Source organism: Homo sapiens, chromosome 10 (assembly GCF_000001405.40).
Source record: "Homo sapiens chromosome 10, GRCh38.p14 Primary Assembly".
NCBI lineage: Eukaryota > Metazoa > Chordata > Mammalia > Primates > Hominidae > Homo > Homo sapiens.
The window spans coordinates 84375269-84395982 of NC_000010.11; the positions used below are offsets into that span (position 1 = coordinate 84375269).

General features: G+C 37.3%; 1 protein-coding gene and 2 pseudogenes across 16 annotated transcripts in view; 2 read left to right on the top strand and 1 right to left on the bottom strand.

Moving 5' to 3' along the window:
• Nucleotides 1-20714, top strand: part of CCSER2 (coiled-coil serine rich protein 2) — a 189929-nt gene that overhangs the window by 46680 nt on the left and 122535 nt on the right. Inside the window, exon 1 of one of the 16 annotated variants that reach the window (XM_006717894.2) lies at nt 18594-18674. The exons of 13 other annotated variants lie outside the window; for them this stretch is intronic. The gene's annotated coding sequence lies outside the window, so the exon portion shown is untranslated. Of the gene's footprint in view, nt 1-18593; nt 18675-20714 lie in introns of those variants that run through there. 2 more of the 16 variants (XM_006717895.2, XM_011539873.1) reach the window with 2 other exon arrangements.
• Nucleotides 13852-14442, bottom strand: RPL12P29 (ribosomal protein L12 pseudogene 29; annotated as a pseudogene).
• TNPO1P1 (transportin 1 pseudogene 1) lies at nt 15631-16978 on the top strand (annotated as a pseudogene).

A 20714-nucleotide genomic window follows, 5' to 3' on the forward strand; every position in this document is an offset into this window, starting at 1 on the left:
GTTCAGTAGGTTTATGTCTATTGGTATGGGAAGAAAAAAACATCCATTCTGTGCTTTGGAACAAGATGGTGTTTCTGTCTTTCTCTTCTGATCTAAGGAGAAGATGACAAAGTCTGAGAAAGAATAGAGAGTTGATGGCAAAAGTTGAGAACCATGTGTTGAGTTCTCGTACAGTGATGTAGGATTTACCATTTTTGCTCTGAAGTTACGTGAATTTTTTGTTTTGTATAAATTTTAGGCGTGTACCTGTTCAGAATTGTTGGTTTGTTTTTTTTTTTTTTTTGGTGAATTGGACTTTCCATCATTACTTAGTGATCTTCTCTATCTCTAACTATGCTTTTTGTTTTCACACTCCTTTTTTTCCAAATATTAATATACCTTACCAGTTTTATTTATATATTTTCTCTTCTTTTACTATCAGCCTTTTTTATGTATAGCAAATAGTTTATTATTTTAAAATTTTCAGTTTGTCTTTTTCTTTTGACTAGTGAGTTTAATCCTTTTATGTTTGTATTGTTATACTTGGACTGTATTTACTCTGCCATCTTATTATTTTTATTTAAATTGTCTTGCTTTTTTTTTCTGTTTCTTTTTCTTTTTTTTTTTTCCTACAGTGGTTCAAAGTAGTATCTCTTACTTAACCCCTCAAGACCTTTAGCATATTCTCACTTTTCTTGTCTCTGCAACACTGCTTCTACCAGTCCAGGTAAAGATAAGGAGCTTTCACTAGAATGTACATCAACTGTGTCACTTCTAACACAGTTTAGTTCCACCCACTGTTCATTTCTGCTGACATTGTTTTTGTAGTAAGTCTTCCTTTTTGAAAGAAACAATGTGTTGATATACATTCTGATGCAATCTCCTAATCATGTCAAGGATCCCAACAAATAGTTTGTAGACTGATTACTTTTCATAACACCAGTCTAGAATCCTGGCTATTTATTTGTTTACATGCTACCAGTATTATGCAGAGGTCTGATTTACGTACAGTAAAATGCACAAATCTTCTGCAGACAGACCAGAGAATTTTGATAAATTTGTATGCTTGTTTGACAATCATCCATATTAAGATATAGAATACTCCCATCGCTCCAGAGTGTTCCCTTTCTGTTCCTTTCAGTCAGTCATTCTCTTACTCTGCAATCACTGTTGGTTTCGGTCACTATAAATTAGCTTTGACTGTTCTTGAACTTTATATAAATGAAATCATAAAGGTGCTGGTTTATATCTAGCTTCTTTTCATTAATATTATGTATTTGTCAGTTGTAGTTTCTTTACTCTTGTATCATATTCCTTTGTGTGAATATACTACAACTTATCTTATTGTTCATGGGCATTTAGGTTGGTTCCAGTTTCTGGCTATTAGAGTATTGCATGATTGTGAAGATTTTGATATATGTTTTTTTGGTGAACACTTATTCATTTTTGTTGGGAAAATGTGTAGGAGAGAGATTCCTGGGTTATAGGCTATGCTGATGGATAAAGATGCTGTCAGTGTTTCAAAGTGATTGTGCCTGTTTACACTCCCCACTGGCAGTAAATGAACATTCCGGAAAATTCACCTTCTTGTCTATTCTTGGTGCTTTCTGCCTTTTTGCATTTTTGCTATTTTGTGGGTATAGTAGTATTGCATTGAGATTTTGTCTTGTATTTTTTGATAACTACTCACAGAGCACCTTCACATATGTTTATTGGGCCATTAGGATATATCCTCTTCTGTGAAGTGTCTTGTGTTGGGTTTGTTTTCTTAATGATTTGTAAAAATTCTTCATATTTTTTGACATAAATATTTATTTTATATCAATATGTAGATGTTTGTATTCATGTGTATATTTACATTTTATATATGTAGAGTGTATTCTTTACTGTGAGTTGCTTTTGAAATCTCTTAGTGTCTGTTGATATAGAACTTACCAATTTTGATATTGTCCAGTTTTACAAGTTTTCCCTTTACCGTTACCACTTTTTAAAAAACTGTTTGTGAAGTCTTTTCCCACCTTAATATCATGAATATATGTTTCAATGTTTTGCTCTAAAAGCATTATTTATTTTTAACCTTTTACCTGTAGGTCTCTAGTCCCCATCTGGAAATTATTTTTCTGTATGGTGTGAGATAGATGTCACGATTAATTTATTTTAGTCATCTTTCCCCCACTGTACTTCAGGGTCATCTTTGTCATAAATCAGTGACTGCATATATAAATATTTCATTGCATAGACAAATATTTCTGTTTATTTTGTCAGTTATATGTTATTTTCATTATCGTAGCTTTAAAATAAATTTTGCTGCCTGGTAGGGTAAGTCTTCCAGCTTTGTTCTTTTCCAAGATTTCTGTAGCACTTCTTAACCTTTTGTATTTCCAATTAAATATTAGAATGAGCTTGTCCGTTTCCAGGAAGGACCTGCAGGGATTTTGAATGGGATTGCATTGAATTTATAGATGATTTTGGAGAGAATTGACATATTTATGATGGAGATATAGTCCTCCATTAATTTCAGACTTTAGAAATACTTCTTGCTAATGTTTTGTACTTTTCTATAAAATGTTATGCATGTTTGATTTTGACACTGTAAGTGGTACCATTTTTATAATTTTATGAGTTTTTGTTGTATATACAAATATACCTGATTTTTATCATGTATATTGGACTTTTCTAATAACCTTGTAAATTCATCTACTAGTTATAATAATTTGCCTTTGGATGATTTTGGAACTTGTATATACATTCTATAATCATACCATTTGCAAAAAAGTTGCCTCACCACCCCAGCGCTTGCCCTATTACACAAGTTAGGACCACCAACGTGATGTTGAATTGAAATGGTGATAGAATTTCAGAGAGAAAGCCTTAATAGTTCACCATTAAAGTTTTTGGGAGTTGAGAGGGAGTTTAATCAGAGTATGGAAATTCTCTTTTATTTTGTTTGCTGAATTTTTGTTGTGAATGAATATTAAGTTTTACCAAATGCTTTCTCTACGTCTGTTGAGATAATGAAGTTTTTTTTGTGTTAGTGTGGTAGATTGCATGGCTTGATTTTCAAATAGTAAACTACCTTTCCATTCTTAGAATACATTCACTTGGTCGTGATGTATTATCTTTTCAAATGTTGTTAAACTAGATTTTCTAATTTTTATATTTTAAAATTATTTTTTAAAATTAAATTTTTTTTTTTTTTTTTTTGAGACGAAGTCTCGCTCTTCTCACCCAGGCTGGAGTGCGATGGCGCAATCTTGGCTCACTGCAACCTCTGCCTCCCAGGTTCAAGCGTTTCTTCTGCCTCAGCCTCCCGAGTAGCTGGGATTACAGGCGCCTGCCATCACGCCTGGCTAAATTTTGTATTTTTAGTAGAGACAGGGTTTCACCATGTTGGCCAGGCTGGTCTCGAACTCCTGACCTCAGGTGATCCACCCGCCTTGGCCTCCCAAAATAGTGGGATTACAGGCATGTGCCACCGCGCCCGGCCTAAAAATTAATTTTTAGAAAAGAGATAGGGTCTGTCTCTTTTTGTCCAGTCTGGCCTTGAACTCCTGGGCTGAAGTAATCCTCCTCCCACAGTCTCCCAAGTAGCTGGGACTACAGGTGCATGCCACTATACCCAGCTCTGCTAATAGTCTATGTTTTTGCATGTATGTTCATGAGTAAGATTGTTCTACTCTGTAATTTTCTTGTTTTTCTACTTGTTCTTGCCATGTTTTGGTATCAAGATCATGCTGGCTTTATAATGAGTTGAGAAGTGTTTCTTATTTTTCTGTCCTTTGAAAGAATTTGTGTACAACTAATGTGCTTATTCCTTAGGTATGTAAAAGAATTTGCCAGAATTCAGCCTTCTGGACCTGGAGTTTTCTTTATGAGAAGGTTTTTAATAACAGTTTTAATTTTTAGATATTGGCATATTAAAATTTGTATGTATATTCGTGTTGGTTTTTGAAAATTTGTCCATTTCATCTAAACTTGTCATTTGTTGGTGAAAGTTGTTTAGGATTATCCTCTTTTTAACATCTTATAGGGACGTCTGCTTTTCATTCCTAATACTGGTTATTGGTGTTTCCTCTCTTTTTCTTCATTTCCAAGAACCAAATTTGGGCTTTGCTGATTTTTCTATATTGTGCTTATTTTCTGTTTTTATTGATTTTGGTTTATATCTTTATTTCCTTTCTTCTACTTTTCTTTAGTTTAATTTGTTTTTTCTTTTCCAAAGTTTTTGACATGGAAACTAGATAATTGATTTTTAGCCTTTCTCCCTTCTCTGGCATATGAATGAATTCTCATAAAGAGAAGCCTTTATTATTTGGGAAAGAATGCATTCAGTAAACACCCTAGTAGTAAATATAGCAGTTAGTTCTTTTTATGTGCGTTGTTTTAAAATTGTGAATTCTAAGGCATGTTGTATAGGCCATTATCCTTAATGCATTTATATATCCATGAACAATATACAGTATGATTTTGTACGTATTTTACAACTTAGGTAAGTGATATGTAATATTCTACAGGTTTCTTTTTTAACTCAATTTTATGTTTTTTGTGTATATGTGTATTTGTATTGTAGTTCTAATTCATATTTATTACTTTATAATATTCTGTCATTTGAATATACCTGTATTTTTCTCTGTTCCCCTGCTAATCTACATTTCAGTTATTCTTTATTGCTAATAATAATGTCTACATGGTGTAGCAGTGAACATTCGGATTCAATTCTCTTTGATCATATAAGTCAGTTTCTTTAGGATATAAACCTAGCTATAGCGTTCCTAGGATATAAAACTAGGAATAGTGTATTTTCAACTTTAATGATATTATCAAACTTCTCCCTAAAATGGTCCTACCAGTGTATACCTTCCAGTAGAGGATGAGAATTTCTGTCACTTATCATCTGAACCCCATATGTCGTCATCTGACTTCAACATTTTAATCAGTCTGGTGAGTGTGAGATGATACATAATTTTAATTTACATTTATACTATTATTGATTTTGTCATTTTTTTCACACATTTTACTGGCAGTTTTGTTTCCTTTTATGTAAATTTTTACTTCAGTGATTTTTCAGTTGGGTTTTGCCATTTTTCTTATTGATATGGAAGAGTTTTTTATGTGGTTGGAATTTAATTCTTGTTAAATGTGTTGCAGTAATCTTCTCTGAGCCTGTTGCTTCTGTTTTGTTTTTTGTATCTTTTTACCGTTCATAGTTTTTGCTTTTGACAATTAAATCTAGTAATGTTTTACTTCATTGTTTTTGCTTCACATGCTCATATATGGCGTGTGTGTGTAAGACACCCATTCCCATCCTAAGGCCATAGAGGTATTTTGTTTACAGAGAGATGTTATTGCATAATGATTAAGAGCCAGGGCTCCGGAACAAGCTAAGTTAAAACTTCACCTCTGTCATGTACTAGCTGTGTCTCCTTGGATTCTCTGTGTTCCTTTTCTTTTTTTTTTTTTTTTTGAGACAGAGTGTAGCTGTGTCGCCCAGGCTGGAGTGCAGTGGCGCAATCTCGACTTACTGTAAGCTCCGCCTTCCTGGGTTCACGCCATTCTCCTGTCTCAGCCTCCCAAGTAGCTGGGACTACAGGTGCCTGCCACCACGCCAGGCTAATTTTTTTGTATTTTTAGTAGAGATGGGGTTTCACCGTGTTAGCCAGGATGGTCTCGATCTCCTGACCTCGTGATCTGCCCACCTCGGCCTCCCAAAGTGCTGGGAGTAATCCCAGGGCGTGAGCCACCATGCCCAGCCTCTCTGTGTTCCTTTTTAAAAAATATAGATGGTAATTGTACGCACCTCCAGGGCTGATGTTAGGAAGTACATGCCTGAATGGTATGACAGTCATGTGATTCCCTGGTGATACTGGTTGTTGTGTATTTTGAGTATCATCTCTCACTAACTCATGGGATTACTATGAACATTAAATGAGGTCATATATATAAAGTACTTATTAATGCCAGGGATATAACAAGAGCTCAGCAGATGTTTGTTATTTTGCTTTCTAATTGTTTTGTTTTACATTTAAGACTTCATCCGAAGTTGGTATTAGGCACAATAATTTACACTCATTAATATTCTTCCACAATATGCTTGGGGTGCTATGCAGAAAAGAGTTAATGTCGCAGGTCTAAGATTGCCTCTTCTTAGATAACCCGCTTGAAAGGTTGGCACTTGGCTGGTAAACAGTTCCTTAGAGTGCTATAAAACTTTTCATAAATGATAAGAGCACAGTAGGCTTGCTGTGCCTAAACTGTTTGCACAGATAATGTGATTTATGCTGACTACCTGCTTTCCTTTTGGGAGTCTAGAATTTTGATACATGCGAGGCAGAGGGTACCCACAAGACCATCCCCCAGTGAAACCTTGGGAGCTGAGTTTCTTAAGAACATCCACGGTGGGCCGGGCGCGGTGGCTCATGCCTGTAATCCCAGCACTTTGGGAGGCTGAGGCAGGTGGATCACCTGAGGTCAGGAGTTCAAGACCAGCCTGACCAATACAGTGAAATCCCGTCTCTACTAAAAATACAAAAATAAGCCGAGTGTGGTGGCACGTGCCTGTAGTCCCAGCTACTCGGGAGGCTAGGAGAATTGCTTGAACCCGGGCGGCAGAGGTTGCAGTGAGCCCAGATCATGCCACACTCCAGCCTGGGTGACAGAGCAAGGCTTTCTCAAAAAAAAAAAAAAAAAAAAGAACATCCGTCGTGGACAAGACTTTGCACTCTTTGCATGTATTGTCACAACTGGTTGCTGGAGGTATTAAGCACATCCTGTGTAACTCCATTGGGAGAGGACTCTTGGAAGCTTTCACCTGATTTTGCCCCATGTGACTTTTCCTTTCTTATTTTGCTTTGTATCCTGCTGGAATAAATCTTAGTTGTTAATATTACTGTATGCTGAATCCTTTGACTCCTTTTAGTGAATTTTCTATTTTGGGAGTGGGCTTGGGGACTCCTGACACAGGTACTGATATGAAGTTATCTTTCTTTACTTCATGATAGCATCTTTTTTTGTTCCTCATCTTTTATATTAGTCCTTTGAAATAGCTATGGACTACCTACTACCTTTGGTTTCAGACTAGGATGAATTCTAGAGGAGTTGAGTAAATTGGCACTAATAGGTTAGGAAGTAGTTTACTACTTGTTACACTCTCAGTCTCAGAATTTTTGAACTCAATAAACTTTTAACTGATATTTAACTTTCTTGATTAAATATAGCATTTTTTCTGATAAATATTATAATCATTGTATGTGCACAATCTTAGGCAAAAACATTTTTTTCTCTTGTAAACACAGTGAGCCATACTCAGAATCTTCTTTGCAGCAATGCTAGGACAATACAAGAGCTCTCATTGAAGAATAGTTGAACTACAATGTCATGATGATTGATTTTCTAACACTGAAATATTTAGGAGGTGATAATTTTAAATCATCACATGGAGTGCCTTTATTTTTGGAATGATTTTTATAGGAGGCCCAAAGAAGTGTTTGAATCAGATCATCACTGAAAGTATCTGGCTTTATTTTTGTTTTATCAGCCTTGCCTTATCTTCACATAGTGGGGAAGTTTAACTCCTTATTTAAATGAGATTCTTGTTCACTTTAAAAGGTAGATCCAAAAACTTACTTGTATGCTTTTGACACACCAACAAGTAGGTATGCCTTCATTTTCATGAGGCTAACACATTTTATTTACATTTTTTAATCTGTGTTTTACTAAGAGGAGAGCTGGCTAGATTTGGGTTTCTACCTTGTGACTGATACAGCTAGACTTTATTGAGATTTAAATGTCTGCTGAATGTCATAATATTCTTAGCAGTGTTTGCGTGGGTATATGAGTTCCCTAGATTATTTGCACTGAAATTTGGAATTTCTCTAGTCCAAAAATATGGAAGAAGAATATAAAAATATCAAACCTGGTTTATATTTGCCTTACTTGGTTTTGAGTTTTAGAATGAATTTAGGAAGTTTTTAATTGCTCTCTAATTTTGTATCTGTGACATTTTACTTCGCTTGGGTTATTTAACTCTAAGGAAGAGACCAGAGATGCTTTGATCTTTTTATTTATTTATTTATTTTTATTTTGAGATGGCGTCTCCCTCTGTCTCCCAGGCTGGAGTGCAGTGGTGTGATCTCGGCTCACTGCAAACTCCACCTCCTGAGTTCACGCCACTCTCCTGCCTCAGCCTCCCAAGTAGCTGGGACTACAGGTGCCCGCCACCATACCTGGCTGATTTTTTGTATTTTTAGTAGAGACGGGGTTTCACCATGTTAGCCAGGATGGTCTCGATCTCCTGACCTCATGATCTACCCACCTCAGCCTCCCAAAGTGCTGGGATTACAAGCGTGAGCCACCGTACCCGGCTGAGGTGCTTTATTCTTTCTAATGTGTATTCACATATACTATCTCAGGTGGTTGCACCTTCTCTACATTTTGCTAGTTTTTCACTTTATTTAACAATATTATACTACTGTCAAACTGTTTTCATTAAACTCTGGTGAGATCATATTGTTGTTGCTTTAAATCTGTATCTGAATAACAAAGATCAGAGCAGAACTAAATGAAATTGAAATTAAAAAATCATAAAAATGATCAATGAAATGAAAACTTGGTTCTTTGTAAGGATAAACAAAATTGACAGGCTGCCAGCTAGATTAGCCAAGAAAAAAAGAGGAAAGATTCAAATAAGCATGATCAGAAGTGATAAAGGTGATTTTACAACTGATGCCATGGAAATACAAAGGATCATCAGAGACTGCTATGAACATCTCTATGTGCACAAACTAGAAAACCTAGAGGAAGTGGATAAATTCCTGCAAACATAACATCCCAAGATTGATCCAGTAAGAAATAAAAATAATGAATAATGAAATTGAATTAGTCATTAAAAAAACTACCAACTAAAAAAAGCCCAGGACTGGACAGATTCACAGTCGAATTTTACTAGGCATGCAAGAGAGCTGGCATCAATCTTACTGAAACTATTCCAAAACATGGAGGAGGCGGAGGAATTCCTTCTTAACTCATTGTATGAAACCAATATCATCCTGGTACCCAAATCTGGCATGGACACAACAAAAGAAAAAAACTACTGGCCAGTATCCTTGATGAACACACATGCAAAAGTCTTCAACAGAATACTGGCAAACCAAATCAAACAGCAACTCAAAAAGATAACTCATCATGATCAAGTGGGTTTTATTTTAGGAATGCAAAGATGTTTCAGCATACACACATCAATAAATGTGACCCACCACATAAACAGAAAACAAAATCCATATGATCATCTCAATAGATGAAGAAAAAGCATTTGATAAAATACAGCATCCCTTCATGATAAAAACCCTCAGCAAACTAGGCATCAAAGGAACATACCTGAAAATAATAAGAACCCTATATGATAAACCTGTAGCCAACATCATACTGAATAGGCAAAAGTTGAAAGCATTTCCCCTAAGAGCTGGAACAAGACGAGGATATCCACTCCCATCACTCCTATCAGCATAGTCCTAGCCAGAGCAAACAGGCAAGAGAAAGAAGTAAAAGCCATCCAAATTATAAAAGAGGAAGTAAAATTATCTGTTTGTTGTTGATATGATCTTATGCTTAGAAAACCCTAAAGATTCCTCCAAAAGACTTTTAGAATTGATAACTTCAGTAAAGTTTCAGGATACAAAATTAATATACAAAAATTGGTATATCCATACACCATCAGTGCTCAAACAGAACCAAATTGAGAGCTGAAATCAATTTACAATAAACACACACACACACACACACACACACACACCCAGGAATACATTTAACCAAGGAGGTGAAAGACCTTTACAAGGAGAAGTACAAAACATTGATGAAAGAAATCATAAATGATACAAACAAATTGAAACATTTCATTCTTATGGATTAGAAGAATATCATTAAAATGACCATACTGCTCAAAGTAATCTACAGATTCAAGGCAATTCCCATCATATTACCAACATCACTTTTCACAGAATTAGAAAAAACAATCCTAAAATTCAAGTGGAACCAAAAAAACACCCCAAACAGCCAAAACAATCCTAAGCAAACAGAACAAAGCCAGAGGCATCACATTACCTGACTTCAAACTATACTACAAAGCTGTAGTAACCAAAACAGCATGGTACTGATATAAAAGTAGACACATTGATTAATGGAACAGAATAGAGAACCAAGAAGTAAAGCCACATGCATACATCTGACTGAACTTCGACAGAACCAACAAAAATAAACTACGGGGAAAGGACACCCTATTCAGTAAATGGTGCTTGGCAGATTGGCTAGCCATGTGAAGAAGAATGAAACTGCACCCCTGTCTCTCACTATACACAGAAATTAAGATGGATTAAAGACTTAAATGTAAGATCGAAAACTATAAAAATCCGTGAAGAAAACCTAGGAAAAACTCTTCTGGACATTGGCTTAGGCAAAAGATTTATGAGTAAGACCTCAAAAGTAAATGCAACAAATCAAAAATAGATAAATGGGACTTAATTAAGCTTTTGCACAGCAGAAGAAACAACAGAGTAAACAGACAACCTACAGAATGTGAGAAAATATTTCCAAACCATGCATCTGAAAAATGACCAGTATTCAGAATTTACAAGGAACTCAACAAGAAAAAAAATGTATAACTCCATTAAAAAAATGGGCAAAGGATATGAACAGACATTTCTCAAAAGAAGACATACAAGCAGCCAACAAACATAAAAAAAACTCAACATCAGTAATCATTAAAGAGATGCAAATCAAAACCACAGAGAGATTCTACCTCACACCAGTCAGAATGGCTATTATTAAAAAGTTAAAAAATAACATATGTTGGTGAGGATGTGGAGAAAAGGGAATACTTATAACACTGTTGGTGGGAATGAAAACTGAAAATTAGTACAACCTCTGTGGAAAACAGTACAGAGATTTAGCAAATAACTAAAAATAGAATTACCATTTGATCCAGCAGTCCTACTACTAGACATCTACCTAGAGGAAAAGAAGTTATTATATCAAAATGATATCTGCACTTGTATGTTTATCACAATAAATATAAATTATCAAAATAGCAAAGTCATGGAATCAACTTAAGTGTCCATTAGTAGTTGATTGGATAAAGAAAATGTGGTGTATATACACCATGGAATACTATGCAACCATAAAAAAGAATGAAACTGAGACTGGGCCTAGTGGCTCATGCCTGTAATCCCAGCAGTTTGGGAGGCTGAGGCAGGCGGATCACTTGAGGCCAGGAGTTCAAGACCAGCTTGGCCAACATGGCTAAACCCTGTCTCTACTAAAACTACAAAAATTAGCCAGACATGGTGGCACAAATGCCTGCGATCCCAGCTATTCGGGAGGCTGAGGCACAAGAATCACTCGAACCCAGGCAGAGGCTGCAATGGCGGAGGCTGCGGTGCGCTGAGATTATGTCACTGCACTCCAGCCTGGGCAACAGAGCAAGACTCTTTCTCCAGAAAACAAAACACAACAACAACAAAAGAAGAATGAAGCTGTATTCTTTGTAGCAACATGGACAGAGCTGGAGGCCATTATTCTAAGTATAATAAGTCAGAAACAGGAAATCATATACTGCATGTTCTCACTTGTAAGTGGGAGCTAAACAGTGGGTACACATGGACATAAACATGGAAATAATAGATACTGGGGACTTCAGAAGTGGGGAGGATGGGTGGGGGATAAGAGTTGAAAAATTACCTATTGGGTACAGTGTTCACTGTTTGGGTGATGGGTTTCTAGAAGCTCAGACCTCACCATTATGCAACATGTTCATGGAGTAAACTTACACATCATGAATCTAAAATCAAAAAAAAATCTGTATCCATGTTCAGGGCCTTTTTCATACTACTGCTACCTTGCCTACATTCCCAGGCTAAGACCATTTGAGATTATTTATATTTTTCTTAATGCTCCCATCTATTCCTCCTTTAAGGCTGTATTCAGACTTTTATTTTCTCCCCTCCCTCTAAGGGTTAACTGTTCAATGATGAGACCCCATGGCACTTTAAATCACACCCTGGTTTTCTGCCTTTCTCCTTCCTGTTGTATCGTGAGGACAGCCTCTTTTCATCTTTCTGTGCTGTGATACTGACTTAGTGTGTTTAGGTGCTCGATAAATGGCTCTTTCCCGTTAGAATTAATTACTCCTTTCTTCGTACGTCTAATCATGTTGCTTCCTCCTACTTTTGGCACTTTATTTCAGTTTATAGTATACTACTTTGTATTGATCTTCATACCTGCACTGAAGTAATTTTAATTTTTTTTTTTTTGAGACAGAGTCTGGCTCTGTGGCCCAGGCTGGAGTGCAGTGGTGCAATCTCAGCTCACTGTAAGCTCCGCCTCCTGGGTTCACGCCATTCTCCTGCCTCAGCCTCCCGAGTAGCTGGAACTCCAGGCGTCCGCCACTACGCCTGGCTATTTTTTTGTATTTTTAGTAGAGACGGGGTTTCACCGTGTTAGCCAGGATGGTCTCGATCTCCTGACTTCGTGATCCGCCCACCTCGGCCTCCCAAAGTGCTGGGATTACAGGTGTGAGCCACCGCGCCCGGCCACACTGAAGTAATTTTGAAGACAAGGACTGGACTTTTCTTTTCTTTTGTTTTTTTGAGACGGAGTCTTGCTCTTCACCCAGCCTAGAGTGCAATGGCACGATCTCGGCTCACAGCAACCTCCACCTCCTGGGTTCAAGCAATTCTCCTGCCTCAGCCTCCTGAGTAGCTGGGATTACAGGCACACAACACCATGCCTGGCTAATTTTTTGTAGTTTTAGTAGAGACGTGGTTTCACCATGCTGGCCAGGCTGGTCTCGAACTCCTGACCTCGTGATCTGCCTGCCTTGGCCTCCCAAAGTGCTGGGATTACAGCGCTCCTGGCCTGGGCTTTTCTTCAGTAAAATTCTCATTTTCTGATGTTTATGCCCCTTTAACTCAGGTTTTATCGTACATCCTGCATCAGTATTAAGTTTCTTCTTAGTATGAATGTTTAGATTCTATTGCTTTGGGTTAGAATAAAGTCTCAAAGTTTGGTTTGTGATCCATAAGGTTATTTCATGGCTGGACTTTGCCTTGTTTACATTTGTCCTTTCACTGTGAATACATAGCCTTTTTTATCTTTTCTACTGAGGCCACTGTAGAATGTTATTTTCCACATTCATTCATACTCATGAAGTGGTGGGAAGGGTTGGATAGATGGTGTTGATGATCTCTACAAAGTGATGCAGAAACCAGTGTACTTGTACCTATTAAAAAGTGACAGCAAAAAGTACAAATGACTCCCTCCCACCCCCTTGAGCCATTTGCACATAAGCTTCCTACCTGAAGCCCTATGGCCTTCAGATACTTTAATACAGTAATTCCCAAACTTTCTGGCACCAGGGACTGGTTTTGGGGAAGACAGTTTTTCCATGGACTGGAGTGCAGATGGAGATGGTTTTAGGATGAAACCCTTCCACCTCAGATCATCAGGCATTAGATTCTCATAAGGTGTGTGCAACCTAGATCCCTCATGTGCGCAGTTCACAATAGGGTTCTCTCTCCTATGAGAATCTATTGCTGCTGGTGATCTGACAGGAGGCAGAGCTCAGGCAGTAATGCTCATTTGCCTGCTGCTCACCTCTTGCTGTGCAGCTCAGTTCTTAACCAGCCATAGACTGGTACTGGTCCATGGCCCAGGGGTTAGACTCCTGCTTTAATGTATACTTCTTGGAAACAAGAACATTTTCCTATATAATCACAGAATAACCATTCGCATCATAAAATTAACATGAATGCATTACTACCACCAAATCCTCGGACCCCATTCAAGTTTCTCCATCTGACCAATAATAACTTTTTTTTTTTTTTTAGTTGTCAAATGATCCTTTATTGAAATATTTTCCTTTGTGCTTCTTAACTAGCTGGCCATTCTACCGCACCACTGTTTATGTCATCTATGATGTCATGAGGGTGGCGGCCATCAGCATTGCAGCCCACAGACTAGGCAGTCCCCAGGATCTCTTTAATCGTTCCAGAGAGTTCTCTGGCTAAAGATCAGTGCCACATCTGTCGAGCAATGTTGACAATCTCATCAAAAGTGATATTTTCACCTTGTTTAATATTTTCCTGTTTCTTTCTGTCTCCTGGCAGTTCCTTGAGGGCTTTGATGATCGGTGCAGAGGGAGAAGGTACCACGTCAATCTGGGCCTGTCTATTCTGAATAGTCAGTTTCACTGTAATTCTCAGATCCTTCGAGGTACTGGTTGCCCTGGGGGCCGATCTTGGGGGCCAGTGCAGATGTGGCATTGACTTTACCTCGATACACCTCAGATACACAACTTTGATCTCAAAGCTGGGGTGGAACTTCAGCAGCATGGTGGAGGCAGCTGGTGTTGGATGAACCTGGATTTGGTACAACCAAAGAGAGTTGCACCTTGGCCTCTTCTGAGCCAAAAACTGAAGGCAGTAATATCTTCTATAGTAAAAAGATCCGTGTTAGAATCACACGTTGGTTTTGTTAATCAGGGACTTTAGTCTCTTCAGTCTCCTGGCCAGTGAGTGCTCCTTCAAACAGACTCCTGTGTGTTTTTCTTCTCTCATAATTCTTTGAGCACTCCCTTGCTCTTTTGTACAAGATGTTTTAGTCTCATCTTTCATTTTTTTCTGCCCTAGGCCTGGAATGAGTGATTTCTCCTAGAGCCCTTGTTCTTTTTATTAGGAAATGCTGTTTCAGAGCCAAGTTTTGGGGGCTAGATGTGCTCACTGCTATTGAAAAGTTGCTGCTCATAGGCATCTTCAGTGGTGAGAGCTAGGGAATATATTTATATATATACATATATACTTCCACACACATGTATCAATATTTATGTCCACATTATTTATATATTTTGAAAACCGTGAATTCAAACTAATACCACCAATTCCATCCTAACACCACAGGATTCAATTCTAGTTTTTTCCCTTTCTATATTTGCAGTCCCCATCTCTGACGGTGATAAACCTGACTTCCATTATTATCCTTAAAATATTTACAGTTATGCATTATTTAACAATGGAAATACATTCTGAGAAATGTGTTAGGTAATTCCATTGTTGTGAAAGCATCATAGAATGTACTTACACAAACTTAGAAGTTGTAGCCTACTATACACCTAGGCTATGTGATATTAGCCTATTGCTCTTAGGATACAAACCTGTATAGCATGTTACCTTACTGAATACTGTAGGCAATTGTAACAATAACGATATTTGTGTATCTAAGCATATCTAAATATAGAAAAGGTAATGCACTGCACTATGATGTTATGATAGTTATGACATCATTATGTTACTAAGCAATAGGAATTTTTCAGCTCCGTTATAATCTGAAGGGACCAGTTTTATATGCAGTCAGTCATTGACCAAAATGTTGTTATATGGTGCACGACTGTTCTTATTTGATTAACTTCCATCTTTGTAACCCACTTCACTTCTGCCACCGTATCCTTTTCCACATCAATGTCTTTCTCATCCTACTTGGGCTCTGAAACCTCTATACTATTAATACATGGATTATTTGAAGGAGGATTTATGGAGATGATCTTGGACATCTTAATCTTAATCATACAGACACAGTATAAATATTCTAAGACCTTAACATGTATCTGGTTTTGCTGCCTAGAAGAGGAGGCTTGTACAGCACCTGTTACTCACTTTGCTTATATACTTGATACCCTGGTCTTTGCATTTAGTAAATACCAGCATAAGAACCTGCTCGTGCTTTACAATGCCTTAGGAACATTAGCAGATTCAGTAGGACATCATTCAAACAAACCAGAATATATTCAGATGCTAATGCCTCCACTGACCCAGAAATGGAACATGTTAAATGGTGAAGATAAGGATCTCTTCCCTTTACCTGAGTGCCTATCTTCAGTTGCCACAGCACTGCAGTCTGGCTTTCTTCCATACTGTGAACCTGTGTAAGAGACAATGAGGAAAACTTGCCCAAGCCATGCTAAACAATGCTCAACCAGATCAATATGAAGCTCCAGATAAAGATTTTATGTTAGTGTCTCTTGATTTACTGAGTGGCCTGGCTGAAGGACTTGGAGGCAACATTGAACAGCTGGTAGCCCAAAGTAACATCCTAACACTAATGCATCAGTGGATGCAGGATAAAATGCTAGAAGTTCGACAGAGTTATTTTGCCCTGTTAGGTGACCTCACAAAAGCTTGCTTTCAGCATGTTAAGCCTTGTATAGCTGATTTCATGCCAATACTGGGAATCAACCCAAATCCAGAATTCATTTCAGTCTGCAACAATGCCACATAGGCAGTTGGAGAAATCTCCATTCAAATGGATATAGAGATGCAGCCTTATATTCCTATGGTGTTGCACTAGCTTGTAGAAATCATTAACAGACCCAACACACCAAAGACATTGTTAGAGAATACAGCAATAACGATTGGTCGTCTTGGTTACGTGTGTCTTCAAGAGGTGGCCCCCATGCTACAGCAGTATGAAGACCCTGGTGCACCTTTCTGAGAAACATAAGAGACAATGAGGAAAAGGATTCAGCATTCCGTGGAATTTGTACCATGATCATTGTGAATCCCAGTAGTGTAATCCAAGATTTTATATTTTTTTGTGATGCTGTTGCATCATGGATTAACCCAAAAGATGATCTCAGAGACACATTCGGTGTAAGATCCTTCATGGATTTAAAAATCAAGTAGGCGATAAAAATTGGAGGCATTTCTCTGACCAGTTTCCTCTTCCCTTAAAAAGAGCGTCTTGCAGCTGTTTATGGTGTTTAATACACTTAAGCTGCAGTCCCAAAATTAGGGGTCCTTCAGTCTTGGAGACTATGAGGGAGCCTCTGCACCCAGGGAAAATACTACCCTTTACGGGGGGAAGGGTAAACCGGTAGGGAATACACTACAATCTCAACCCTACTGGAAGGGGCAGGAGGGAGGTGTTGCTGTCACTGTATTAGGTTGATGTTGGGAAACGTTTTAACATGTGGAGCCTTTGTGGGTTGAAATATGTCTCCAGCTACAACTCTGCACTGGATCTGAAGAAGCAAAAAAAAAAAAAAAAAAAAAAAAATCTGTTCAGTCTACTCACAAAACAGCACATTGTGGAATATTATGGAGAATTGTACCAAAACAGGAACCATATAAATGATGCATAGGGACAAGAAAGAGGAACAATTCTATAGCGCACAATAAAGGAAACCTAAGAATGGGAGTTACAAATAGTAAAGAAGCTTTTTTCTTTTTTTATTTAAAGTTTTTTTTTTAATCCAAGTTTTCCCACATGATGGGGCTTTGTTTTGCATATTGATGAAGAACTGCACAAACAGAACTAATATAGTTAAAATCAGCTTGCCTTCCCATAGTAGAAGCAGGTTCTTGGAAGTTACAATTTAAGGTACCCCAAAAAAGTTGGAAATAGAACAAAACAAACATGAACAATGAAGCACCCTGTGAAATGCCAAATGAGTCACTCCTTTTACCTTTTTTGGGGTGTGCAGGCTGGGTGGAATAAATGGGGCTTGGTATATCAAACTAAAGATGACATCTTAATTTTGCATTGAACATTAATGTAGCGGATATAATTTGATGGTTGCACTTCATTAGATTTAATTTCTAGGCCAATATGTTATTTTTTAAAGTGCAGTTTAAGGGTTAGGCATGCTTTCTGGCTCATAGTGGTTGAAAGTAATTTAAATTAGTGGGGAAGTAGCATGCTTGCATCACATAGAGTGAGACTGGTATTCATTTACCTATGTTGCAGCAATTTGTGTTGCAGTTTACCAATTTAGTGTAGCCCTGCTACACTAAATTGTTCCTTCTTAAGATTTGTGGGTTTTATTTTCATTAAGAATATAGACATATAAAGTACTGTAGTTTACAGCTAGTCCTTGAAATGTCTTTTTTAGGATCTGTTAGGAATAAGATTGATATTGCATTGTGTGTAACCTGCACAATGTGGAAAGCTGATATACCTGTGCAAAATCTTTGCCTCTGTGCTGTCAGTGTGATGTGCTTTCTGCATGGTTATATACTACTCATGATTCTATCAAAACTTCTAAAATTTAAATTACGTGGTAAAAGATGTGTAAAAGGCTGCGTAAATGTCAGTTGGCACATAAAGACAATTGTAGAAGTTGAAAAATGATTGCTGTATTTCAGTGTTTTATCCCCACTCAACATACTGCCTTCTAAGCTTTCTTTTTTTTTGTTCAAAGCATGATCTTAAAGATATGTTTAAGTTAATGGGTGTAATGCAGGGTTCCTACGCTGTATTTTGGTGCATGTTGGTGGCCCTCTGTGCCGTAGATGTATGCACATAGGTTGCAAGTGAAAAGCTACAGAGTGAAAGTTGGTTTGGATCCTCTTCATTTCATTTGTTTAGCTTTTCTGTTATTTTTCTCTACTTACATGTATTCCTGTGAATAAATCCTTGTTAACCTTTAAAAAATTAAAGGTACTGTTTAATACTTTTCACTTAGTTTTGTATACACATTATGACATAACCTATTTACAAAGTAAGTTTCTAAGGTATCACGTGTCATAATAGCAAGCTGCAAGTAACTAAAAATGTGATGCTAGCATAGATGTGGTAGTGGAGGGACAGCTTATAGAAAGTTGAGATGGTCCTAATGTAGGTAAATAGAAATCTCAAACTGATATTGATACTTTCAGGTATGCTTTGACATTGAGTTACAAAATTTGAACGAATAGAAGGGAGCTACTCCAACTCCAGTAGTGAATCTTCCATGTACATTTAATTATCAGTATAGATCTTTTTGTCCTATTAATATAACTTTTAGGTGTGAAGAAAAGTTTAAATGTATGAAATGTAGTTGTTGTGATTCTTTAAACATAATTATATTTTTCTTCATTCAGCATTAATGTTTCTTATAGATTATGTTACAATATGAAGTTCAGTTCAATAATTCTTGAGCTTCTACTATGCTCCAGGCATACTCTTAATTTCTGAGGACACTGAGGTGGATAAGGCTGTCCTTGTCCTTAATTAGTTCAAAATCTTGTTTGATAGGCAGATAAATTATAAACACATGATCGTAGTATGAATTTATAAATGATTAGTATGCATATGCTCTTGAAATAACAAAAGGAAAGTATGTGTGTGTGTGTGTGTGTGTGTGTGTGTGTGTGTGTGTTGGGTCATTCAGAAGCTTTTGAAGAGGAAGTTAACTTGTGAGTTGAGTGTTGAAGAATGAATGCAAGTTTTACCAGTTGGCCAAGGAAATTAGATGGTGAGCATTTTAGCATACGGAACAGCATGTACAGCATGAGTATATCACAAAATCATGATGTGTGAGAGGAACATCAGCATTGCTGAGTATAGGGTATGGGGTAGAGGGTAGTTAGAAATGACCCCAGGGAAATAAGATGGTGGAAAGGAAGAAAAATTCAGTATCTCAAACTGAAAGGACAAATTATATTTATAAATCAGATTTTTAAAATAAGATATAACATTAAATATTATAAATATTTCTGTATCAGATCTTCATACACCCCACCTATGTATGAGACCATGAACAGAGTACTTTTTTTCTGAACATTTTTTCTCATAAAAATGAAGTTACTGGATTACCTAAACTCCTTCTTGATCAAAGCCTGTGTTGCAGAGAAAAAGTCAGTGAACTTAAAAGTAATTTGTTAATAAACAGAGTAGGCGGGGTGCGGTGGATCATGCCTGTAATTCCAGCACTTTGTGAGGCTGAGGTGGTAGGATTGCTTGAGCCCAGGAATTTGAGACCAGACTGAGCAATGTAACAAGACCCCATCTGTACAAAACACTAAAAAATTAGCCAGGCATGGTGGCATATGCCTGTGGTTCCAGCTACTTGGGAAGCTGAGGTGGGACGATCACTTGAGTCCAGGAGGTTGAGGCTGCAATGAGCCATGATTGCGCCACTGCACTCCAGCCTGGGTGACAGAGTGAGACCCTGTCTTAAAAAAAAAAAAAAAAAAAGAACAGAGTGTAATATGTTCCTTTTACCTAGCATAGTACCTGGCATAGAGTAGATGTATAATGGGTAATATTTTTGGAGAAAATATTGAATTCTGCAATTTGGATCAAGTAGCTATTATAAAATTGTTATAGTTAATGAGGACACTGAAGCTAAGAGTCTTTCACTAATTGAATGAATTTTAGGAGTTGTTGAAGTTGCTATTCTGGCCTGAATAAGTAATTAAATATTTTTCAATTTAGGTTATTTGGTTTTATTGTCCCGTGGTGATTATAAGTATTGCTTTCAGGCTCTTCAACTTCTAGTGGCATTTGTGTGGTACTTCCGCAATCTTTTATCCCTTTCCTGGTCCTGGGAGTCAGGCAACCTGTATTAGCAGAAGCTGCCAGCTTGGTAGCTTAAGTTGGGTTGCATGGAGACACAGATAGGAAAGTTGGTCTGTGGAACCTCTTTCTACCTTTTAGTACATGGTGAAGGAGAAAATAGCATGATAACATTAGACCAACCATTGGGAAACCCAGATTTCAGCCGTAGCTGAATAAGTAGTGTCTCATATGACCACAAAATATTCCAGGCTTATCTTGTATTTTCCCTGCCCTAGCCCTTGAGTCATTATGTCTCCAAGGAAGATTTTTATTGGAGAATGAGATTTAGAAACCAAGATCTGGGGCCTAGGTGTGTTCGTTGCTACTGAGGTGTAATTACTTTTAGTTATTGTGGCAGACAGAACTGACAATTATAT